This window comes from Homo sapiens, chromosome 13 (assembly GCF_000001405.40).
Source record: "Homo sapiens chromosome 13, GRCh38.p14 Primary Assembly".
Classification (NCBI taxonomy): domain Eukaryota; kingdom Metazoa; phylum Chordata; class Mammalia; order Primates; family Hominidae; genus Homo; species Homo sapiens.
In genome coordinates this window covers 86,908,950-86,936,843 of record NC_000013.11, presented here as the reverse complement: position 1 = coordinate 86,936,843, position 27,894 = coordinate 86,908,950, and the positions used below count along the sequence as shown (strand labels likewise).

At 34.7% G+C, this 27,894-nt stretch overlaps 1 long non-coding RNA gene across 1 annotated transcript; it reads right to left on the bottom strand.

Annotated features, from left to right (window-relative positions):
* Positions 1-36: 36 nt before the first annotated feature.
* LINC00430 (long intergenic non-protein coding RNA 430) lies at positions 37-27,243 on the bottom strand. Its single transcript, NR_132371.1, has 3 exons — positions 27,234-27,243; positions 24,863-24,924; positions 37-268 (listed from the first exon to the last, which is right to left on the bottom strand). It is a non-coding gene; the product is annotated as a long intergenic non-protein coding RNA 430 (long non-coding RNA).
* Positions 27,244-27,894: the final 651 nt, after the last annotated feature.

The following is a 27,894-nucleotide window of genomic DNA, read 5'->3' as shown; positions in this document are numbered from 1 at the left end:
CTATATGGTAATCATATCTAATTCAAACCAAGTAACTTGCTTGTTATTATTTAATGTACATCTGCAAACTGATAGTGATTGAACTGATACATTCTTATTAAAAACGGAGTGTCACAATTTTTTTTCCTTTCACATCCAGGATCTATTATCCATTCTTCTTCACCCTTCCCTGTGTTTTGAGCGGCTGACCTATATGAGCTCCACCTAGTAGCATCCTTGATCTCTGGCTTTCAGTTTGCTTTGGTCAATGAGGAGCCCTAGAAGAACACTAAAGAAAGGGAATAAGTGTAGATTCAATTATTTATTCTCATGAGTCTCTCCTGTTCAATAGCCACTTCTGCTATGCACTTGTGTGTAATTTACTACTTCTTCCCAGAACACTGTATTCCTCAAGGACACAGTACTGTATTTCTGGATTCTAGATTCTAGTAACCAGCATGAACCCTCTTTCTCCAGGAAGCAGTCACAGCTCCATGACAGTAACTGCTCTCTCCTTTGTGTTCTTCTATACCTCATCCACTCTTTCATAAATGACCCCTTAAATTTTTCTACTAATTACTTTACTTGGAACAGACTATTGGTTTTATGATGGGATGCTAACTGAAATAGCAGTTTTCGATAAATTCTGACTCAATGCTGAATATTTGCAGTTAAAAAGGATTTCCATAGGGTAATATTATTACATTTGAGATAGTATTTTGAAAAAAAATTGAAAATAAAAACACACTTCTGGTTAGAATGCTAATATAATAAGAAAAGAAAGTCTTAAAAATGAGTTCTTGACTCACAATTAAATACACAATGTTTATAAATATATTTGTTTTTAAATATCAATGAAATCAAGCTTTAGGAATTATCTGTGGGTATATTTCTATTACAAAAATTTTAATCAAACTCCAGAGTGAGACTATATGCTCACTAATAATTCCGTCACTTGGTGGGTATCAGCCCAATGATCACAACCAAGGAGGATTTAGTAAGGAGATTTTATTACTTGCAAGTAAGCAGAAACATCAGAAAATGAGGCATGATCTGATTGTATCTTGCAATGAGGTGATGTCAAGAGAAAGTACCTGACTGGATCCTGCCATGGGGTGAAGCCAGAGCTTGATCTGGTTAGATCTTGGATCCTGTCATGTGGAATCCACTTCTTAATTCTGTCCCCACTCCTCAGTCCTAGCACTTAGATTCCCCCTGAGGTTACAGGCTTGGTTCCACCAATCTGAGGGGCCACAGCAAGTGAAAAACAACTTACCACTTTGTCACATAAAAGCTAAACCAAATAGGTCTGGTGTTGCTACAGTTTCAAACCCTAGAAGGAGACTGCAGGCTCTACAAAACCATTGAAAATTAGAACCTAGAATTTAGTCGCAACTTTGTTTGCCAGGTGGGGGTGATATAGCTTATTCTTTTTTCAGTCCTACCATTGCTCCAACTTCTCTCTTTTAAAAACTGTAGCCAACAATGATTCTGTCTTTGAGAAATTGTAAGCATTACTTTTCTCTAAGAAGATAAACAATATAAAAATAATAATTATTAATAATAAAGTAACCATTATTTTTGTGTAAACTTCACCATTTTGTCTATAGAGGAAGTTATAAGGTAATGAAAAGGTCTCACCCTTCAGTTTTTGATTTAAGACTGACGAGAAATTAACAACAAGAGGATAACAATGCAATCCCTGACAGAAAATATATGCACGGTGGAGGTTCAAATTTGTCTGTGTTGACTGTCCGGGTATGCAGAATAGCCCAGGTGGAGTTATTTACTTTTCCAATGTAAGAGGAAGACAGTCACATGTCTAATGTGGATATTTAAAAAAGAAGAAAAGAGAAAACAAAGAAAGCCAAACTCCCCTTTCAAACTTGTTCATTCTTAGCCCTTTTTTTTTCTTTCTGTTTTGAGATCTAATCATTTAGCAATGGGAATTACAATATGTTTTGTACATTTCTTCCATTGATAATATGTACTGGACAAGAAGTATGATTTTAGAAATTATAATTTTAGAAAAATTTATGAAAACACATAGTTTATAAAAGTTTTTATAATTCAGCTATTATCTAAATGTTTTTATTTATACATGAATATGGGTACATATATATGTATACATGTACATATATATGTATGTGTCTGTATTCTAATCTATTTATAAATATTTTGGTTCCAAAATACGTTTTATAATAATTTAATGAAAGAACCTATATTATACCTCACTTAGATTTAAAATTTTTATCTGGTGTAGAGTAACACACATAGAAATAATCAGTAATGATAATAATATTAATAAAGGTAAATGTATTGAATACTTCATACACATCAACAGTTATTGATTTTCATTCTTTTTTCAACCCTATGAAGAAGTTATTTTATTTTAGTAAAATTATAATGTTTTATTTATGAAATTAGGGACCAAAATGAAAGAGTCATATAATGTTGGTAATGGTGGTAAATAATTAAAGAGGCTATTAGAAGAAAAATGGTATATTTTACTCCATCTCCCACAAACAGGCACTAGACTTTGACTCTTTCTTAAACAAAAACAAACAAACAAAAAAAACTTTCTCAGATAAAATGTTCTAATTATTTGTATAGTATAAGTTAATGCAAAATAATGTGGGTTTTGCGATTACTTTTCATTGCGAAGGCTGCGATTACTTTTGCGCCAACCTAATAAAAGTCCTTGACACATATGTTAGTCCATTTAGTGCTGCTGTAACAGAAAAACTGAGATATAAAGATGGAGTTTATAAAGAAAAGACTATTCGGCTGACTCTTCTTGTGGCTGGAAAGCTCAAGATTGGATGTCCATATCTGGTGAGGGCCTCAGGCTGGTACACCTCAAGGCACAAAGCGGAAAAGGATCACAAGGTCAGAGCGGAAGCAAAAGAGAAAAACTACAGAAGCCAGACTCTTTTTATCATCTCAACCTTGAGAGAGCAAGAATTTCCTCACCCCTGTGGGAGGGCGTTAATCTCTTCATGAGAGATCAACCCTCATGACTCAAACACCTTCCACTGGGCCCCACACCTCCCAACATTACCACATTGGGAATCAAATTTTAGTGTGAGTTTTGCAGGGAACATAGCAACCTATAGAAACATGTTAAGTCTTTGCTGCCATGATTAGACATGTTTAATAATAAATCACATGCACTTATAACATATATGTGATCTTATTTATTTCAAACTTAATAGATAAATATCAACCAACCACAATTTGTATGCAAATCACAATGTTACAAAGGATCAGCATTATTTCTAGAAATAATAAAAAAGTCAATGGGGCTATAGCACAAATATAATTGTTTATGATCTGTTTACAAGTACTTATGTATATCTTTATTTCTATTTAATACCAATAGAAAAATATAACAATTATAGGTTAGTATGTGTCTTATGTTTTAGATATCTGACTGAAGTGTCTCAAAGGCAAACAAGTTTTACCAAAATTAATCCCTTTTCAGTGAATTGATCAAATGGATGAATTCTGACCCTCTCGAGTTCCTTTCCCCAGTTAGAGTGGGGAACTGGGTGACTGTTAACTGTGGGATTCATTGAAGCATCTTACCCTAAAGGCACCGGAAGACTGAAATGCAACCTGCAGAGCTGGGATTGATTCCAGAGTCTCAGTCTGGCCCCCACTGCAGGAGGCTGCCCTACTCAGGAAGAGATTTAATAGGGAGCTGAAGGAGTCCTTAGGGGGCCAGGGAGATGTGACTGAGACTAGTTTTCCAGGTGAATGAGGTTGGTGGAGGGTTTGATGCTACAGTCGGTCGGAAGATTTGCAAATATAAACACATTCCTGTGTGAGGCACTTTACCCTTTGTCAGTGATTGTGAATATATGCATTTTAAGTGATAAGATACAGCTGGTCAGACTGCTCTGGGCAGTCTCAGTGACACATTTCCTGTGCTGTGATTGTTCTGAAAACAGAGTGGCTCTAACCACTGTGAGAAGCCCAAATAAAAATTGATCCAATAATAATAATAATAATAATAATAACAATAATTTTACTGAGAATGGCAAGAGATAAGCATATGTATCATATTAATTCCCTTCTAAGTTTCTTAAGTGACTTCAATTTCAGCTAAAATTAATCCTTTTACTTGGTAATATTTAAAATAAACTTTGTATTAAAGCAACTGAAGAAAGATTGTACAGTTTTTTTCAAAGCTATGTACATTCAACAATACTATAAGCATGTTGAAAATTAAACATAATTCAGTAAAAAATGTAGTACGTTCTTTTGCATTTTAGACTTAATAACATTTAGCATTCCTTCAACTGTTAATATTAAAATACATAGAAAAACTATAAATACAATATGTTCAATTCCAATGTAAAATCAAGTTTCCCAAAGGGATATTTTTCTAACTCAATGTAATCCAAAAAACTGGGATAAAATGTTGTACAGGTGAATCAAGAGAGTGTTATACAATGTACAGCTCTAAGAATCTGACACAGAAATTTTCAACTTCTATTTACGAATCCACAAAAACTAAAAATCATTTTTAATGCTGAAACTTGCAATTTTATTACAATTGTCTAAATTTCTACTAAATGAATTATCCCCATGAATTTGTGCTATGATTAGATTGTTCTTTACTTTTTTAAACTTATGGTCAGATATCAAATCATACTGCCACATTCTAAGCATCAAGTGGGAATAAGAAGGAAACAAACCAGCAAAAATTAGTAGTTTCTGAAAAAAAATATTGGCTTATAATAAATATCTTTTGTTGGTTTGATCTCTTTACAACACTTAAAGCATAAAAGGTAGTGATAGAAATGTAAAGACATAAAAATTACTTTAAAAATGTTCCATATTAATACAGCACATGACAAAAGAACATTTGTATTTACATGTTTCTTTTGATTCTGATTGGAGATGCAATGATGTTTATAGTAACACAAATAACTGGGCCGCCTAATACAAATTTTGACATGAATGATGCCTGACACAGGATAAGTACTCAATATCTATCAAATGAGTCCTTGATGAGTAAGTTATGCTAAATATGCTTGACCTACTATTGTATCCTAGTCAGTGCAATCAGCATGACTTATAATGATACATGCTAATCGCTATAGTAATTATCATATAGCATTATAAGTATATGCAAAATAAAAAATATGTGGCTTTAGGATAAATCATAACTTTAAACCTAATTGCAGTTATTATAAACATCTCTTTAGAAATATACACACTAATCCTAATTGGAGTCTAACTCAGAGTTGTCCAAAAATTACAAAGTTTGGTGTTGAGGTAGTATAAAATTTTTGGCATAAAGTGGGAAAAAAAAAACTTGCCTGGGAATTGGGCAGTAACTGAAATAATTTTCTATAAGATGGAAACATAAATTTAATGAGAATTTAAATTCTCCATGTTGTATGAAAGAAACTGGAATCTATTAATGAAATATTTAATTTATAACAGTTTTTAATGATTGCCTCTTCTATTTTGCATTCACTACCCTAGCAAATATTTTTATCCATGCTTAGTGTTTGAAACTGTGCAATACTGTGGGTGTGTGAATTACATTTATATGGATTGAGAGCTCTTCAAGTGTTTTACCAGCTAATAACTTGACGATACCCACATTTCAGAATAAATGGAGGAGAAGATATGAAAAAATGAAGTTGAAAAAGACTGACAGCAGATGAATCAGGAATTCATTGTAATAGTACAAACAAACTAGAAGAGAGGCCTGAGCTAATGCCATAAAGAGTAAATGATTTTGATGAATTTCCTTTATGATAATCAGCAAAAATACATAAAATTCTTGGACCAATTAGATGCAATATTTGAGTAAAATTAAGCTGTCTCATATAGGTGTGAGAACATATGAGGCTACATTTCTTCATGTAATATATTTTGTCTAAATACATGCATGTTTTTGGCAGTGCTTGAGACTGGTCATGTGTCCATTAAAGATTATTTAAAAATAAGGTAATGATATTTTGTGGATCTAAATAATCTTCTAAATTATTTTCAAGGCTTAGATAAATAGCGTCCAAGATTTAACAGTATAACAGTGCGTAAATATATGCACCGTTGGTGGTAAAGAATATATGTGTTTGAATTTCAAATGGAATATTGGTGCTTTTTATTTGCTCTATGTGTGGTTTATCTGTCTATTCAGCTATACATATCTGTGAAATCATAGCTAGCTTTTTTTATTGTTGTTGCTGATTTTCATAAAACCTGGAATTGAATAAGATGTCAGAATTTAAATCTAAATGGAAAATTATGATTCAGTGTTGTTTGTACAAGGCAGGTATCTGGATCAAATGAAAAAATAGTTTTTATTCATTCTGATATTACTAATTTTAGTAGACACAACCATCTGCTGTTTGACTGAAACTTTTCAATAAAGAGTATTTTAGTAATATATATCACATGCCAAAGACACAGTCAATTTGAATACATTATTGTAATTTGATTAACTGCAACAAATTTGTTACCGACATCCCTAAAGGGACCATGTTTTATTCAGTTTTAGAATATTTGCATTCAGCAGGTAGTAAGTAGTCCACAAATTATTACTGCGTTAATTACATAATATATGTATTACTAAATTAATATAAATATAATAGTTACATATTTAATGCCATTTAAAGTATTTATGTTTCGCAAATCCAACCAGTTTAGAAATATTTTGTATTTGAAAATAGACATGCCCTGTGACCCAGCAATTCCGTTCTTAAATGTACATGTGAAGTTATACCTAAGTGGAAAAAAGACATTTACAACAATGTTCTTAAAGACATGAATACTAGTAGTTAACGTTGAAAACAAGTCAAATGTCACAATATAATGGTTACAATAAATATATGCATTATGTATGTTATATATTATACATAATAGATATTTATAGATGAGATATATAATTATATAAGTAATTATATAGAGAGAGATATACATATGTTACCAAGGTTATAAGAATAAATATGTACAATATGGAATGTACAGTACTCTGTTGGTGCATAGAAAGTGCTTTGTTTCTTTTGGTGAATACATTATTGTTTACTAACCCCAATTGCATCTCTCCTAAAAGTGAAATGTTGGCAAACAGATTTAAGAAAAATATTGATTAACATACTTTTTGAAATCCATCAATAAGTTTTTCTTAATCAGAAAACACTGAAAATAATCGTTTTAAACTTTATTTCATTATATATATATATCTAATTGCAGATACTTTAGACATTGTGACTGTGTATGCACATGTGTGTTTGTGTGTATATATATAAACAGATATATAAATATATACTGATGTACTTTTTAATATTCAAGTTATTTGCAAATTGATTTTAAAATGTTAATGAAATCTAAGATAATTTAATGTTGTTAAAAATGGAATCAACTACAATATTTTATCCAGAACTTGAACTAGATATCTGCAAAGGTTTTTTGGAAACTAATCTATTGGGCTTATATGTGTCATGTATATGTTTACAAACACATATGAGTTCTCATATAAATGTATTGATACATAAATATGTATATAGATATAGATATACCCACACATCTGTTATTACTATATTTTGAAATACTAAAAGAAGGCAAATGCAAGCACAACTTTGAGCTGACAAATGTATGCAATTAGAAGAAGTACAAGGCAGATGATTTTCTAATGCAATAGGTAACAGTATGGAAAAAGTAATACACTGCCTTCAGGCTCAAAAACTTTGATCTGAAGCAAGATATTTTCTATAATGACTTTCCTTTCTGTAACCTGAATGAGACAGATTTACCCCGAGGTGTATTCCAAGCTAGATGAAAACACTTCAGTTCCCTGAATAATTAGTATTGTGAGAAACTGAATTCGATTAAATAATCATCATGCTACACATCCTAAAAGTGACTAAGCGAATCATTGCCCTACTGGGCAGGAACATCCTATTGTAGTATCAGGCTGTAAAGTCAAAGTGCCTGGCGGAAACTCAGCTACAGAACTGACCAGCTATGTGAACTTAACTTTATTTAAATTCTTTATGACTGAGGCTCCTGATCAATAAAATATGGATCAAAATAACAACTAACTTCATAGTATTTCTGTGATGACTAAATATTTTTGTGATGAACAGTGTATTTTAATATTTAGTATCTAGTATATTTATAGTTCAAGTGTTATAAAAATATTTCATATCATATACTAACTTGATAAATGTTATATATTATTAACAATACTAATGTAGTAATAAACATTATCAGAGAAAGAGAGCAGACCTCTACAAAGTAACTTTTCCAGTTAATGATTTGCTAAGATCATACAAATTAAAAATATATAGCAAATAAAAAATGATTAAGAATATGTTATAAATATCCCAAAGTCAATATTATTCTACTTCATGTATTCAGCAAAAAGTCCAGAAAAAATGTTGATAAATAGCTGGTAAAAGTTAAGATCAATTATATATTATTTTATAAGTTTTTATATATTTTTCACCTTCTCAACAGATGGTGAAATATCTGCTTATAAATATATACCTACAAACACACATGTAAACATGCACATACCTATACATATATCCTTATGCATATGCATGTATATATAATATACATGCATATATACTGACACACATAAAACAAATACATATTCGAACATATATAATATAGTAACATAACACTGTACTGTAAAAATAATTTGTTATAATTATTTTTAACAAATAAAGATCTGGCAGAGGCATAACATTTCTGAAAGCAGAGAAGATAACATTTACGATACCTTTAAAAATGGCAGAAATATGTTTTGCTCATTATTATTTGGATTTGTCTCACCAAAGGGTCATGCATTTCATATAAGAGCTACAAAAACAATTGGTGAAATCCACACACTATGAATTGAGAGAGCTGGATTTGAATCTTTTCTTTTTTGCTTTTTGTGGAGAACAACATCTTGCTTTGTTGCCTTGGCTGGTCTCGAACTCCTGGGCTCAAGCTATCCTCCCTCCTCTGCCTCCCTAAGTGCTGAATTTGAATCCCAAATGCAACAATAATCTTCAGTGAGTTACTTGTCATTCATTTCTGAAGTTCTATTTTCTCATTTAATAAGTAAAGATAGTAACCTACAACTCCACTTACTTACTATATGAAAATGATGGTTGTATATTTAGTTATGTCGAAATGGTAATAACTATTATTATTCTTCAACCAGATTTGTTTTATATCAAAATTTACATTGTAACCCTACCTGAAAAACATACCACTTAATTTTACAGATTCACAATAATTTGGATTGTTTTGATAGTTTATTACTATGACAGGTACTCATTCATGCGTCATTATTATGCAAATTATTTGATACTTTCTATTTTCCACATGCCTGTTAATGAATAAGACACAGTCTCTCCTTTCAGGATGCTTTCAAACTCATATGGGAGGAAGAGAAATCAACAGGAAATTTAATCAATTATAATCAATTTTGATATTAATAAAAGCCAAAAAGATTCATAATTATAGAAGAGAAGTGTTTCATCAGTTTCAGAAGTCATCTGAAAATGTGGTTTATATTACAGTAGGTAGCTAGTCAGGTGTGAGCAGGTGATATGGTTTGGCTGTGTCCCTACCCATATCACATCTTGAATTGCCACGTGTTGTGGGAGGGACCCCGGGGGAGGTAATTGAATGATGGCGGAAGTCTTTCCAATGCTGTTTCCATGATAGTGAATAAGTCTCACAATATCTGATGGTTTTATAGACAGTAATTTCCCTGCACAAATTCTCTCTGTTTGTCTGCTGCCATCCATGTAAGATGTGACTTGCTCCTCCTTACTTTCTATCATGATTGTGAGGCCTCCCCAGCCATGTGGAACTGTAAGTCCATTAAACCTCTTTCTTTTATAAATTGCCCAGTCTCTGGTATGTCTTTATCAGCAGTGTGAAAAATGGACTAATACAGCAGGGCTGGAAAGGGCTCCTCCTACACCACCAGGAAAGTCAGGTGACCATAAGGTGAGGGTCAGGTTGTTGTTTCTCTAAAATAATAATTGGTCACAACCAGCACCAGGGAAAGGCAGTTTCCTGACAGATAAAAACACCTGACAATGGTTATTGGCAGCTTCTCAATAAGATCTCAGAAACTTGGTGAGTGAGCTCCCACATGTGCATTAAGAGGCAAAATGGTAGAGTTTAACTGGTATATGACCTTCCTGGGACATTCCCCTGGAAAAGGGAAAGGGAAGAACGCCTCAGGTGAGCACGCGTTCAACTCCAGTAAACACGATGTGCATGCTCCCCTCCAGAATGCTAGCAAGTAACTGCTCATGCAGACAACCCACCCTCTTGGGGGAGAATGAGTGCAAGACCCCAGAAGTATGCCAACATATAAAACCTTAAGTCAAAAGGTCAAAACCTGCCCTTGTCCTTCAAGTTGCCTGCTTGGACCTCTTCCAAATGTACTTTCTTTCCTTCCTTTCATTTCTGTTCTAAAGCTTTTTAAATAAACTTCCACTCCTGCTCTGAAACTTGCCTTGGTCTCTTCTTCTGCCTTATGCTCCTCAGTCAAAGTCTTTCTTCTGAGGAAGCAAGAATTGAGGTTGCTACAGACCCATACTGATTCAACACCTGTAACAGTTTATACTGATTACAGCAAAATGAAATAGTGATAGCTAGGCAATTGGAAGGGAGAGTGTTGCAGACAAGGAGAACATAAAAAAAAAAAAGCCTCATGCCTGTAATCCCAGCAGTTTGGGAAGCTGAGACGGGTGGATCACCTGAGGTCGGGAGTTCGAGACCAGCCTGACCAACATGGAGAAACCCCGTCTCTACTAAAAATACAAAATTAGCCAGGCGTGGTGGTGCTTGCCTGTAATCCCAGCTACTCAGAAGGTTGAGGCAGGAGAATCGCTTGAATTGGGCAGACAGAGGTTGCAGTGAGCCGAGATCATATCATTGCTCTCCTGCCTGGGCAACAAGAGCAAAACTCCATCTCAAAAAAAAAAAAAAAAAAAAAAAAAAAAAAGCTACAAGTAATTAATTATGACTGGATCATATAATTTATGATAACCAGGAGTGTTGCCTTCAATGGCATGTTCTTTGTAAAAAGTGCATTTATGTTAAAGATGAGAAGGCACTGACAGATTTTTTTAAAAAAAGTGAAGTGAGAACTGAAATATTAAATTATGTATTTTAGAATAATCAATTAAAATTGTATGGAGAAAAGTGTGGCTATAGTCTGGGAGAGTTATTAATAGGCGATTTCAATTATTTAGGCAAGAGATCACAATAAGCTATTTTTTTCAAAAAAAGCATATCAGATAAGAAGTAAATGATTTCAAGAGACATTAGACAAATATTTGGTAAATAATTGGTTTAAGAGTGTAAAAGACTACGTAGGAAACTTTCAGTAATTTAAATCTTTTATGTAGGAGGAATATTATAAGGGGCATATGATGTCTGAATTTTTGAGGATATATCAAAGGTAGAGAAAAATTTCTTTAATTTCAGGTCTTAACCCACCAATTTCAGGCAACTTCCAAATTAGAATAGGAATGTACTTGAAGTTTTAGATTTAAGGTTTGTCAATGGAAGCAAAATACAACTTTCTAAACCACTTTGGAATTAGTTACAGTAAAAATAATGTACAGTATAGTGATTTCAGCTAAGTTTATGTCTTTTCGTATTTGAGATTTAAAAAGTGTGATCAACTGATTAAAAAAAAATGTTTATGCTCAGAATTGGTCTGATGACCAAGGCTAAAATTGTAAACATTTCTCTTTTAAATCCCTGTGATGGCAATGTTTGGAAGAACAAGCTTTGGTTAAGATAGTAGGAGAACTGAACTAAACAAAACACAAACATCAAAAACAGAAACAACAGAAAAGGAGAGGTTGGACGGGAGAAGAAGTAAAAAATGATTATTCCAAGTTTATGGATACAAAATACACAATTAGTGATATGGGAGGGGATCAGGGAAGGGCTGGGAAGGGAAAGGCATGGTCCCTGGCTAGGTCTCCACCCCCAGGCCTGTGCCCAGGGACCTAGGTGAAGACAGGCATTTCTGTTTTCCTGCCCACATGTTCCATTCCGCAAGACCATCCTGGCCCATCACACCCCCATCCTGTGCCTATAAAAACCCCGAGACTTTAGTGGGCACACACACAAGCAGCTGGACATCCAAAGGAACACACCAGTCGAAGACACAAGCAGCTGGACATTGAGAGGAACGCACCTACATAGGAGCACACCAACAGTCACGGACAGGCCATCGACTAGTGGAATGATGAGTAGTTTGGCCAGGGGAGAGCCTGGCCACTAAGTGGCCTGACTCCAGGGGATAACCACCTTTCCACTCCATTTCCCTTCTGGCTCCCCCACCTGCTGAGAGCTACTTCCACTCAATAAAACCTTGCACTCATTCTCCAAGCCCATGTGTGACCCGATTCTTTCAGTACCCCAAGGCAAGAAAGCCCGGGATACAGAAAGCCTTCTGTACTTGTGATAAGCTGGGGGGTCTAATTGAGCTGACTAACACAAGCTGCCTATGGACAGCTAAACTGAAAGAGCACCTGTAACACACGCCCACTGGGGCTTCAGCTGTAAACATTCACCCCTAGACACTGCTGTGGGATCAGAGCCCCACAATCTGTCCCGTCTGCATTCTCCCGCTAGAGGTTGGAGCAGCGGGGCACCAAAAAAGCGGACCATACGTGCATCGCATGCCCTGCAAGGGGGACAAGGGAACACTTTCCATTTCATTAGTACAAGGAAATCACGTCAGTAAATGAGAATTAAAATGGGTGTAGCAGAAATAAAAATAATAAAGGGTCATAAATGTAAGTCTCTCAAAAACATCAAGATCTTGCCATGATATTTTAGTTATAGTTGTTTTAAAGTTTTAATATAGACAGGTTTGGGGCTAAAAAAGCAATCAGGAATTTAGTGGGGTATCATGAAAGAAGGCAAGCTGCATAAATGGCATGACCAAAATTTGCATATAACATTCAACAAATAACTTGCCTGAACACTAAACAATGCCTGTCTGGAAATCACCATAGCCCTAGTGAAAGTAACTGAAAGCTGGAAAAAAAAAAAAAAAAAAAAACGGATACTAGATGTTAGATTTTTCTCTACTACTAGGAGACTAGAATCTGTACCATACATCCAGTCAAGAAAACTCCCTGCTACTATACGATTTCCTATTAATAGAACATAACATAATCCAGTGTATCTACAGGATATTAATCATATGGGCCTTATTTCAACAAAAAACAGATATAAGACAAGACAGAAAGTGCAACCCATGTTCAAGAAAAAGTCAGTCAATAAAAAATGACCCTAAGGAAACCTCAATGTTGCAATTATAAGATGAAAACTTATAAAGAGATATTATACCTATGTTCCAGGTTTGGGGTGGGGGGAAAAGCAATGAATGACCAGATGTAAACTTTCAGTAGAGAAATAGAAACTATAAATTACAGAAAAAACAACAACAAAATACACCTGAATTTAACACCTAAGGAGTTAAATGATAATTGAAAAATGGGCTTAGCTGGAAGAAATAGAAACAGAGGTAGAGGGCAGATAAAATGTTTCAAGAAATGGGTTCAACAGCTCACTAGCACCCAAGCATCCTTACAAGCACCCAGATCACTGCCTACCTGAACCCAGGGATCCTGTCTGCAAGCACTGAGCCTAAACAGCATGACCTTACAAAACTCGAGGCCCTGCCTGTTTCCAGATCGTATTGTTCCTGCTGTCTTGCCCTTTGTTCCCTTGCAACATATCTCCCCCTTTCCTCTAAATAAATCTGCCTTTCTAAACTTATTACTGTCTTGGTAAATTCCTTTACCACCCACGCACCAGCCTCAGACAGTGACCACGACATATACTAGCACTAAAATAAATATCCTGTTGATGGATTAGAGCAGACTGCAGGTGGGCCAGCCCGGAGTCAGTGATTTTGAAGATAGAACAATTAAAATTACCCATCTGAAGAAGAAACAAATATTAAATATAAAAAGCTGGAGCCTCAGAGCTTAGATGGAATTTGATTTCCCAAAGAGGAGTCATAGGATGGGGCAGAAATATATTTGAGTCATAGGATGGAGCAGAAATATATTTGAAGATACAATGGCCAAAATTTACTTAAATATAGTGAAACATAATTTATATATCTCAAAACCTTAATACAACCCAAGCAGGACAAACACAAAGAATATCACCCCTATGCACAAAGTCATATTGCTAAAATCTAAATATTAAACACACACAGACACACACACACACACATACACACATACAATCTTGAAAACATAAAAGTATATGTGGAACCACACATTACATACAGAGAAAAAACAAATAGCCACGATGGCTAATTTGCATAAGAAGTGAGAAGACAACCAAAAAGCATATTTAAAATATATAAAGAAAAATTTTTGTCATTTCAGTTTTCTAGGCCATAACAGCCAAGACTAAAAACAAGTAAGTCCATCAAGTGAATGTTGAATAAACAAATCATCGTGTAGTCTTACAGTGAAATATTATTTAGCAATAAAAAGAGGGCTGCTGACACATGTAACCTGATTGAGGAATTCATACATTATATGAAGTAGAAGATACACACACACACACACACACACACACACACACACGAACATTACGGTATGACTCAATCTACATGAAATTTTATAACTGGAAAAAGTATATGGTAAATAAAAAATCAGTTGTCTGTGGAGAGTGGGATGTGGGCAAGAGAAATTAGCAAAGTACAAGAAAAAATGTTTGAATAATTGGAAATAGATTTTTATGATTGGAGTGAGATTCATATAGCTATACTCATTTTTTAAAAATATACAGCTAAAAATTCGATATTTCAATGTATGCAATTTTGAATTTTAAAAACCTATAAAATAATAATAATCACTATTATCTAGAGAGGAGTGAGGAGCTGATGTAGGTATGGCAGATGGCAGAATATTGATAATTGTTGAACCTGAGTAATGAGTAAATTTGAAGCTGGTAGTTTATAACATTTTTTTTTACTATTGTATCTAAAAATTTCCATAACAACTGCTAATTTTTTAAAAAACTACAAAGAATCATTTAACTGACCTCTGAAAAAAGATAACATTAAATTATTTATACTGTCATTCAATAAACATGTCCTGTGTTGTGGGCATGAGACTTAGCATACTGACTTGAATATAGCATCAAACTAAAAAAACAGCTTTATAGGGTCAATCAACCATTTCATCATTTGCAAACCCTCCATGAGGCTAAAAGGGCAAAATGTAATTCCAGAATCCATATTCTTAACCCATACTCTCTAAGAGCTTACTCATTACTGTAAAAAAATCTTTACTTAATAGAACTATACCATGAAATTTATAATTTTTAATTAAATTCAAATATTTTGGTATAAATAAGTAAATGAACCTCAGTGAGTATTTTTTAAACATTTAATAGTTTAAACTATATTTTTAAAGTTGAAATATTGCTTAAAATATGAAGCAAACTGTCTAAGAATTCTGCTGTAAGATATATTTTTAAAATAAAAATTCCCAAGCCAACGAATAAACCAAAAAAGAAGCTCAAACTATACATTAAAAAGAAAGCATAATAAGAAAACTTAAAAAGTTTTTCTTATTGTTCAGGATTGAAATTTGTTATGGGTTACTGAGTCTTCCATAAAATGAAGCATAAAGTGTGAATAAAGAAATCAGATTTGTATGGTCAGCATTTATGGAGAAAATAATTTTGCAAATGTTTCATCTGTAGAAGCTTTGATCCAAGGATCTAAAAAAATGTCTAAAACTATTTCAGTTTTTACTAAACTTGTCAAGTATCTAATTTACAAACAAGATTGCTCTTCAAATCATATATTCATGTGATAGTACTTGCTTCTTGCCTCTAGTTTTGCTAGTTTATTTAAGGCAGTTTCAGTGAGACTAAAAAATGAATAGAAGTGAACAATAAAAATGTAAAATGCAATGACAAATTTTTAAATTTCTTAAACTAAATAACCTGTCATTGTTCTGGGGAATTTAGAGCAGAAATCATGCAACAAGTATTTTTAACAAAAGCTAGAGTACTTTAAGACAAATAGAAATAAATATACAAGCAAATCATTTTGTTTAGAATTTTAGAAGAAAATAAAGTGAATACTGAAGTTTCAACATTACCACTAATTGCCTAACTTCTTCTTTGGTGTCTCTCTTCCTCAAGGAAGTGTTTAAACTAGATGCTATCTAAGTTTGTTTTCAGGTCAAATATTCTGTGATCTTGCTATAAATGTAAATAACATTAGAAAAGGGACATCGTCTCTGGTTATCTGTATGGATAATTACTTGTGTAATAAAATACCCCTGCACCTATTGGTGCTTTTTAAAAAAGGGAAATTCATATGCATATTAGATAACTTTATTTCAAAAACATTTTTTGCCCAAATCAAAAGCAATTAAAATTGAATTAAACATTTTTTTTAAATAATGATTTTTTAATAGAGAGATGTAAGATACTCCTCTATTAATACCCAGAAATGCAGCTCCCTGGAAAAGAAACACATACCCAAGTTTCAGAGGAAATATGATTCTTATTGCCCTTCCTCTTCCAAATATCATTCTCATTGAGGAAATAAAACTGCTAACAACTTAGGAGTATGCCTTATTCTCTTTAGCTTATTATCTCTACCTCTCTACCAAAGGAGAAACTGATAACAGTAAGCTCTTTAACACTTTCTACCGTGACCACATTTTGGAGAATATTGATACTTTAACAATACTGAGTCTTCAGAGGAAACATTAATATGTTAAAATTTTCAATTCAATTTGTTTAGGTATTAGCCAATTTATTTATATTAGAAATATTTTCTAACATTTTCAAGTACTCAGTGTACAGCTATTGCATTTTTGTTTAATATATAATATTGTGTGTCCTCTTATAAATGGTAATGTTTCTATTTAATTTCTTTCTTTTTTTTTTTTTTTTTAGAGGGAGTCTGGCTCTGTCGCCCAGGCTGGAATTCAGTGGCATGATCTTGGCTCACTTCAACCTCCACCTCTTGGGTTCAAATGATTCTCCTGCCTCAGCCTCCTGAGTAGCTGGGACTACAGGAACACACAACCAGGCCTGGCTAATTTTTGTATTTTTAGTAGCGATGGGGTTTTGCCGTGTTGGCCAGGATTGTCTCGAACTCCAGACCTCAGGTGATCTGCCCACCTCGGCCTCCCAAAGCGTTGGGATTACAGGCATGAGCCACAGTGCCCAGCCTGTTTTTATTTTAATTTCTGATTACTTATATTGATATAAAGAAATGCAACTAATTATTATTATTAATGATAATATTATTATCATTCTATTATCTTGCCAAGATCACCTGTTAGATTTGGTAGCTTTTTGTGGGTTTCATCAGGTTTTATAAGTAACAATATTGTCTGTGAATAAAAGAGTTTACCTGAACCTTTCAATAAACACTCCTTTTATTACATTTTCTTTTTTTGGCTTCTGCAATGGTTGCAACCTAAAATACAATGTTGATGCGGTGTGATGTGATTGGAAATACTTGCCTTAATCTTGACTTTAGGAGAAAAGCATTAGAAATTGAAATGCTAAGTATTATGTTAGACATAGTGATATAGGAGTTAAAAAGAAATTACTTAGGCAGTTACTGAGGGTATGGGAGTCCTCGATAAGGTTTTCCATTTAATGAAAAGCAGCCCTCAAATCATTTTCTTGTCTAACAAAGAGTAGCCTGTATAATAGAGCTGCAGACAGAGACAAGCAAGATGGAAGCCTGCATGCGTGAAGGCCAGCAGCCGTGTCAATAGGAAAAGGCTACCTGGGGACTAGGCATGTGCAACATCACAGCTCCATCTTCCCTTCTTGCCAATCATGTGTGCAGTAGGAAGAGGACAACACGGTGCAGGCCAAGTAAAAACTCATTTGCATATTAAAAAGATTAGGGACGGGCAGCCAGCTTCTTTGTCTGCTATGTTAACTTCACACCTAGTCCAACCAGTTTTGGGGCCCTAAGTAAATCAGGCACCACCTCCTCAAGCCTGTCTATAAAACCCTACACACTCTTACATGGGCTGGAAGTCCCACTTGGGCACCCTCTCTCAGGAGAGAGAGTTATTCTCCTTTCTCTTTCCTCTGCCTATTAAACCTCTACTCCTAAACCCACTTCTTGTGTGTCAGCATACTGGATTTCCTTAGTGTGAGACCACGAACCTCCTGTATTTACCCCAGACAGTGACGCTGCTTCAATAGTTTATTTAGGTGACTTTTATCAGGTTGAGGGTATTCCTAGTTTGAAGAATGTTTTCTATCAGGAATTGATCCAAGATTTGACAAATACATCATTTTAAATGTTCTACAATAATTATTATTTTTTTCATTTTGGTTTATAACTATGATGACTTGCATTGATTGATTTTCAAATAGGAGGCCAACTTTACAATCTTAGTCCAAACTTTACTTGATCACGGTGCATATGCATTTTAAATAATGTTAGATTTGTTTTGTTAAAATTTTGTTAAACATTTTTGCATCTAAGTTCTTGATTGATATATAGTTTTCTTTTCTTGGAATGTTTGTGTATGTTTTTGGTGTCAGAGCATTTTGGGTTATAATTTCTTAAAACAGATTTTCTATTCTCCTTTTTTTTCTCTTTGTCCATACCAATTACACAATATGTTAGGCTTTAGAAATTACTCCAAGCTTAAATTGATATTGCTTGTATTTTATTGTTGCATTTTTTCTACTTTTTGTATCCTTTTGTGTATTTTCTCTTCTTGACTTCCAGTCCATTATTCTATTTTTCTGAAAAAAGTTCATTCTGCCATTAATTCCTTTTATTTCTAGAAATTTGATTCACATATTTTGTAGAATCCACATATCTGTTTAACATGTTCAATCTTTTCTCTAATTTTTATCAATAAGATATATAATAATTTATGTGAAGTCCCTATCTGCAATCTAGACTCTTTATCAGTTTGAGTGCAGTTTTTAGTGATTGATTTCTCTCCGCCATATGTGTCATATTTTTCTGCTTTGCTCATTGTCTGATTGATAATTATTTCTTGTATGTCAGATAATTTCTTCTTGGATGCCAGTTTTCACTTGGATGCTGGTGAATTTTACATTTTGAAGTTTTAACTAAGTTTATAAATGTATGTATATATGCGCGTGTGTGTGTGTGTGCGCGCGCACGTGGTGGCGCAATACGGTTTCACTGCAACCTCCTCCTCCTGGGTTCGAGCGATTCTCCTGCCTCAGTCTCCTGAGTAGCTGGGACTACAGGTGTGTGCCACCATTCCTGGCTAATTTTTGTGTTTTTAGTAGAGACAGGGTTTCACCATGTTGGCCAGACTGCTCTTGAACTTCTGACCTCAAGTGATCCACCACCTTAGCTTCCCAAAGTGCTGGGATACACACATGAGCCACTGCACCCAGCCTTAAATTCTCTGAAACGTAAAAACATTCCAATATTGTGGGTCCCTACTTTTAAGATTTGTTAGGTGAGACAAGAGCATAATTTATTCTAGCCATAATGATTCTGCAGTACTGTCTCCAATTCTTCTTCTCTCTGCTCTATTTTACATTCCATGACTTTCGAGGCTTTCTAACGGGTTTGTGAAAATGGGCATTATCTCAAGTCTTATGTCGCCTCCAGATACGAATCGCAGTACTTCTTTTTGGTTACTTTTTCTCTAGCCTTGAACATTTTTTTTTTTTCACATTCATGCACTAATCAGTGTTCTGCTGAATGCTTGAGTTCAGCAGAACTCAAGCTGAACTTGTTTGTAGGTATCCATGGTTTTTCTCTTTGTGCTTTTATCTTCTTTCTACTGCTCTTTTCTTCAGTTCCTATCTATCTTGTTCTCCTTGAATTCTCACTATGTTTATTCATCTCAGAGTTCAGTGGATTACCTCTCCTTTTGCCACAGTTTGGAAACTCTGTCAAGGCTACTGCCAATTATAGGCCTCATCTGGTTTCTTTCATGTCTCCCTAGGATAACTGTGTTTCATGACATGACTTCCAATGTTTGAAAACTGTAGTTTTTGTTTGTCTGGTTTTATTTCTGTCAAGTGATGGTACGTGTAAAATTTTTCTGTCACCTCATCTTGTTAAACAACAGAAGTGTACTGTATTGGCCTTTAGTATCTGCTTCTCTTTAGCTTTCCATTTTTAAAAATCCATGACCCCCTTTTTTAATGTGCTCACATCAAAAGTTTTCTGCTTCTTGCTCTTGCACACCATATCTATTCATGAGCAAATCCTGTGGGCTCTATTATCAAAACATATCCAGATTAGACAGCTTTAAATCAGGTTCTTCTAACATTTTTTCCTAAGTCTACATTATTCCTCATAAATAATGAAAAAATGTATATAATAGTTCTACATCCATATTTCCCCCCTTACATTCAATAATCTTCACAGCAGGTATAGTGATACTCATAACATTGTTTACTGCATATCATATTTTTGCTCAAAATTCACCACTTCATTTCTATTTATACGAGTGAAACACAAAGTCTCTTCCCTACTCTTTCAGTCTTCTCTGGTATTGGCTTATTACTCCCCATTCTTCATTTTCCTCCAGTTTTCCTCATATATTCTTTGACATTAAGACACACCAAACATGCTATTAATTTTCCCTGGAAGCATGCAATCACAGTTCCTGCAGGTCCACCTCATCATTGTCTTCCATAACCATATTATGAAATGCATAATCCCATTAATCTCTGTCCCACTTTAGCATATTTGTATTATAACCAGCACAATTTAACATATTAAAAACTTATTTTCTCTCCCACACTTCCCTAATTTGAATGTTGAAAGCAGTACATATTTAAAGGTTGTTTCTTGCCATAGTCCTATCTGTACCCCAGGATTCAAGGTCCAGTATCTGATACACTTCAGTCAATAGCAAATATTTGTTATTTGTATTAAATAGATGAGATTAAATAGATCTACCAATCTAATAAATTATTTTTAAAAATATTCAGAATATTTGTGTCACCTAATTAATCATTTGAAGAGCCAAGAATTTAATTCAGGAGAAATAAATAATTTATTATATATAGCTACTAAGATGCATAAAGTTACATTATTCACAAGGTACCTAGGCAATATGAATTTATTTCAGGCACATAGAAACAAGTCATTAATAATTGTCTTATTTTTTATAATTAAAGATTAAATTTGTTTATTGTAACTTTCTATTAATGTGAGATGTAGTTTATCCTGGTATTTGAGACACTTTGTGAATACTATATTGGGTCTTTGGAATCATATCGATCATCAGCTACATGTACTAGAAAATAATGGATGTGTTCTATGTAGAAAACTCTTTCAACTTTTAAAGGAAAATGAGAAACAGTACAGGTAATTGATAACATATAGTTCTTGTGTTCCAAACACCTAATAAAATGTCTCAGTTAGCTAGAGTTTTATGCAAGAAGTATCTCCATTTGCTTATTACATGGTTCAATATATCCATTAGGCCAGTAAAGTTGATAGAGGTTTTCAAATCCTCTCTGTCCTTATAGAGCATTTTCTCTCCTTGATCTATGGAGAAGCTCTAAAGTAGAACTATATATAGATGATTTAAAAAGTGATCAATTTATTTTTATCTGGGCTTTATATATCTGAAGGTGTATTTTTGAAAGCTTAGCGTTATGAAATTATGTCTTTTGGTGAAAATTTTTTTCTCATGTAACAACAGTATTTATCACTATCAATAACTGTACCACTTTAATCTATTTTATCTATTAGGTGCATGTTTTAGCCTGTTCTCACATTGCTAATAAAGATATACCTGAGACTGGGTAATTTATACGGGAAAGAGGTTTAATGGACTTACAGTTGCACACAGCTGAGGAGGCCTTACAAGCACGGTGGAGGTGAAGGAGAAGCAAAGGCACATCTTACATGGCAGCAGAAAAGACAGAAAGTACAGGGGGACTCGCCTTTACAAAACCATCATGAGATGAGATGAGACATAATCTCATGAGACTTACTCACTATCACGAGAACAGCATGAGAAAGGCCAACCCCATGATTCGATTACCTATCACTGGTCCCTCCCACTACACTCAGGAATTGTGGGAGCTACAATTCAAGATAAGATTTGGGTGGGTACACATATAAACCATACCATTCTGCCCAGGGCCCCTCTTAAATCTCATGTTCTCCCATTTCAAAACTAATCATACCTTCCCAACAGTCTCCCAAAATCTTAACTCATTTCATCATTAACTCAAAAGTCTACAGTCCAAAAGTCTCATCTGAGACAAGGCACGTCCCTTACACCTAAGAACCTGTAAAAACAAAGCAAGTTAGTTACTTCTTAGACATGATGGAGGAACAGGCATTGGATAAATACACCCATTCCAAATGAGATAAATTGGCCAAAATCAAGGGGCTAAAGGACCCACGCAAATCTGAAATCCAGTGGGGCAGTCAAGTCTTAAAGCTTCATGATGATCTCCTTTGACTCCATCTCTCACATCCAGGTCATGCTGATGCAAGAGGTAAGCTCCAATGGCCTTGGGCAGCTCTGCCCCCTTTGGCTTTCCAGGAAATACCCCTCTTCCTAACTGCTTTCAGGGGCTGGCATTGAATGTCTGTGGCTTTTCCAGGTGCACGGTGCAAGGTGTCAGTGGATCTACTATTCTGGGGTCTGGAGGAACGTCGCCCTCTTCTCACAGCTCCACTAGGCAATGCCCCAGTAGGAGCTCTGTGTGGGGACTTTGCCCCCACATTTTCCTTCCACACTGCCCTAGCAGAGGTTCTTCATGAGGGCCCCAACCCTGTAGTAAACTATTGCCTGGGCATCTAGGCATTTCCATACATCCTCTGAAATATACCTGGAGGTTCCCAAACTTCAATTGTTAACTTTCCTACCTCCTCAGGCTCAACACCACATGGAAGTTGCCAAGGCTTGGGGTTTGCACCTTCTGAAACAACACCAAAGCTGTACCTTTGCCACTTTTATCCATGGCTGGAGGGGCTGGGATGCAGGGCACAGAGTCCCTAGGCTGCACAGAGCAGGGAGGCCCTGTGCCTGGTCCATGAAACCATGTTTTCCTCCTAGGTTTTCAGGCCTGTGATGGGAGGGCCTGCTGTGAAGACCTCAACATGTCCTGGAGACATTTTCCCCATTGTCTTGGCTATTAACATTTGGCTCCTCGTTACTTCCACAAATTTCTACAGCTGGCTTGAATTTCTCCTCAGAAAATGGATTTTTCTTTTCTATGTGATCGTCAGGGTGCAAATTTTCCAAACTTTTATGCTCTATTTCCCTTTTAAAACTGAATGCTTTTAACAGCACCAGGTCACCTCTTGAATGCTTTGCTGCTTAGAAATTCCTTCCACCAGATACCCTAAATCATCTCCCTCAAGTTAAAATTCCACAAATCTCTAAGGTAGGGACAAAATGCCACCAGTCTCTTTGCTGAAACTTAGCAAGAGTCACCTTTACTCCAGTTCCCAACAAGTTGCTGATCTTCATCTGAGACCATCTCAGCCTGGACTTCATTGTCTATATCATTATCAGCCTTTTGGTCAAAGCCATTTAAGTCTCTAGAAAGTTCCAAACTTTCCCACATTTTCCTGTCTTCTTCTGAGTCCTCCAAACTGTTCCAAACTCTGCCTATTACCCAGTTCCAAAGTTGCTTCCACATTTTTGATTATCTTTACAAAGCACCCCACTCTACTGGCAACAATTTACTGTATTAGTCTGTTCTCCTGCTGTTAATAAAGACATACCCAAAACTGGGTAATTTATAAAGGAAAGAGGTTTAATAGACTCACAGTTCCAAGTGGCTGGGGAGTCCACACAATCATGGCAGAAGACAAGCAGGAGCATGTCATTCCCTTTACGGATGGTGGAAGTGGAGAATGAGATCCAAGTGAAAGGTGTTCCCCTTATAAAGCCATCAGATCTCATGAGAAGTATTCACTACCACAAGAACACTATGGGGGAACAGTATGGGAGCCCCATGACTCAGTTATCTCCCACTGGGTCTCTCCCACAAATGTGGGAACTATGGGAGCTATGATTCAAGGTGAGATTTGAGTGGGCACACAGCCAAACCATATCAGTGCATAAGCCTTCTTTGCATTAGTATTTGCTTGGTATACATTCTTTATCATTTATATTAAATAATTTCAATATTTTGTGTCCATGCTTTTAAACTACAGAGGTCATAGCTAAATCTTAATCACTAATTCAGACTGATAATCTTTGGTTTTAGTTGTGAGAAATAGCAATTGTCATAACTGAGTACTAAGCTTTGGTTTAACTATTAAGTATTCTCTCCCTCCACACTGGCAGCTAGGTGAGGATAGTTACTCTGCTACTTTTGCTTTAATTGAAAATACCTAGAAATTCTTAATAAAGATATACTTAATAAAGATTAATAAAGATATACTTAATAAAGATATGGGTATGAGATACAACAAATAAATGAATTACAGTTTGAATTTGAATCCTCGAATATTTGCTCTGCTCTCACTAAGACACACAATTGTTGGTCTGTTGATAAAAACATTATAAAATTTGATATTTATTATGTCTTATTTATAATAGACAATATATTATAAATAATAACTTAGGCCATTATTTTTCTCTATTGTAAAGGATAAAAATATTTCAATCAATATATTTATTGTAAATAACATAACATAATTTTCTAGGATCTTACAGAAAAACAAAATTTTAATGCGAAATCCTCTCTATTTGGACAATATACATTTTGAGTGTAGGATTTTAATTTAACAAGTCATAATTGACTTTATTCTATTTGCTTTATCCAATAAAGTTGTGATTTGTTTCTCAAAGTCGTTTTACTGATTAGATAAGATTTGAGTAGTGTTATGAGAAGAAAAATTTAAGTCGAATTTCCTTACCTCTGCTCTGTGGATAAAGTTTTCATTAAGCAAATTAAAATCAACTGCTGAACAAGGAAGACCTAAAAGATAAGTGATCATAATTATTATTTATTTATAGCTTATTTGGATTAATTATGGAAGTATTTGAATGCCAACTATACTTTCAATTAATAGCCTACAGTATAAATGAATTTCCTAATATTTATATTGTGCCAGTATTTTCAAATTGGATAAAGTTACAATGTTTATTATGAATGAAATTCATCCTTCTGATAAGGTCTATACTGGCCAAATAAATCAAAGAATGAATATCTATAGAAGATGTCCCGCTTACACATTCATTAAACCACTTGAAGTCCAAGTCATTAAAGCTAAAATAAAACATCATAATACCTTCACAGAAAAATGGAATCATATTGCTGCCTTGAAAATTTTTTTTAAATCTTCTAACCAACTTGAATGTTCATTTATGACAAAGTATGTTTGAAATTATGAAAAATAAATTGCTGTAATGCTCACAGTTAATAGACTAACCAAAGAGGAATATAGCAGAGTGTATGCTTTTGGCAAACATGACAAAAAAACAAAATTTAAATAATATAGCTCAAATGCTAGTGATTATTTTGACCTTATACTAGATAGGAGAAAATAAAGAGACATTAAAAAAAGTCATACAAATAAAACATGAGGATCATTTGAACTTGGCAATATGCCCTTTGGTTCTCAAGTTTCTTGCTCTTGATAGAATGATCACCTCTGACCATAATACTCTCACATGCCCAACCCATAATATTCTTTTGCTTTGTAAAACCTAATAGGTTTCAAATCTTACAGCATTCTTAGTCTCATTTATCAATCGTTTCAAATGCAAGCCTAAAATTGCTAGCATTTATTTGAATATTAAAAGTGAACTTCACAATTCTTAGAGAAAAACTCTCCAGTCAGATTCCCTTGTGTTTCCTCACCCTCCTTCTCCCAAACCAGTTCCCTTTCTGCCCTTCACCAAGATTACTGTATTTTCTATTTTTTTTTCTTCTAAGAGATACATGGAAGAGGAAAAATCAATGAAAGCTTTTACCCTAAATCTTTTAAAAATATTTTGAAGTGAGAACATCTTAAAAATGGGTTTTTGGTGGGACACAAGAAGATTTAAAATTTTATAAGGAAGGTTAAGAAATGTCAGGTGGAGTTTTTTTCTCCTAAGCATTCCTTCTTCAGATTCTTAGAAAGTATGGTAAATATTAATCACAGGACAAAGAGCATCAAAATTGGTTGCAGATTAGCAGACATTCACTCGACAGTTTGTGGTTAGCAAGATGGATGGAAAGAAATAATGGATGAATTATTTGCAAGGAGCAACGTGAAAATTATTTCATTCTTCTGTGAATAAAGAATTGAAAATCGAACCTTGCATCTGTCATGTGCTTTCTCGGATATATGGGCAAATTGTTAACTGTTTTTGAGTCCTTATTCCTCACTGCAAAATATGTCTAATACTTACTTTATAAAATTTTTAGAATACGATGTAAGATAATATATGTACAATACGTAACAAAATATATAGTATATAGAAAACAAATAGTGGCTACCATTTGTATTAATAGTGGGGGAGTTTTAAGGGTTTCTTTTTGTGGTATTAAAACTGTCTCAGTCAGGTTCTATCACATTTGAGATGAATCAAACCTGAAAAAAAATTTAGGAGTGTTGTGATAATTCCATCTGTTACCATACTTTGTCAAGGTTCCTTCTAGAAAATTCCTGAGACCAACCCTCTTCCCTGCTTCTAGCATCCTTCATCTCCGATCTGGGTAATTTAAGTTGCAGTGGCTCACAGCTAAGTTCCTTACTTTCAGTTTCTAATTCATTTAACAAATATATGCCAATGGCAGATAAAACTTGCCCAAGAGTAATTCTAATTCTGTTTAAAACATTCAATGCCTCCTTATTTTCTACAGGAAGACCTAATTCTTTCGTTTTGCATTCATGATGATCTGTTCTATTGAATTGTCCCAAACAGTTGCCTCTACCTGACTTCTGAGCTTCCTTTCCACGGTAACTTTTGTTACAGTAGGTAGATAGATGTAAGCAGGGCAGGAGAGAGGGCCCAGAAATGTTGGGCATTTGTCAAGCCAGGGTCAGGCAGTTATAAATGTGTACTCTGAAATGGTGAGCAGGACAAGGTAGGGACCCCAGAGTTGTCTGATTCTCATCGAGGGGAAGAGTAGTGGGCATAAAACTAGGCCTCTAAGGTTGTAAATGGCCCATGACTGGCGCTGGGAATAACAGGGGTCTTACAACAGACAGAGGACACCTGAAGTTAGTAAGCCTGACAAGGTTTCCAGCATGTACAGTAAAAGTGCAAAAAAGTCAAATTTAACCAGTACCTGACCTTCCTTTGTGGGCCCTTGACCTTTAAGGACGAATTGCCTCTAATGGGCCTGCGCATGACTTCAGTAAGCACACTGCGCATGCGGCCCCAACAAAGTGCTGGCAGAACCATGTAATACACCATAATTGAGCGACAGACTGCCCAGAGGAAGAACGAAGGGTGGAGGCAAAGAGCCCAGGAAAAGATAAGGGTTATAAAAACTCAGAACAAAGATGCAGCCAAGGCACCTGATTTTTCAAGTTGCCTGCTTGGCTATCCTCCAGGTGTAATCTACTTTCTCCAAGAAACTCTCACTTCTCTTGAAATAAACTTTCCCTCCTGCTTTAAAGCTTGCCTGTGTATCTCATTTGAATTATTTCCTTCCAGAAGACAAAGGACTGAGATCTGCAAAGTCTCCCCTCTGGAGTTTCTCAGGATAACTGCAGACTCACATTCCGGTAACACTTTGTACCAGATAAATTGACGTATTTATTTCCTGCCAAATATGCCTTATAACTTCTTATATATATTTCTCTGCTTATTCAGTTTTCTTTATTCAGAATTTTTTTTCTCTGTACAAGTTAAATATCAATGTATACTTAAACCCTCTAAACAGCTATCTTCTTGTTCAAAATTATTTTCCGCATACCTTAATATTGAAGTGAAGCTCTTTTTCAGTTGA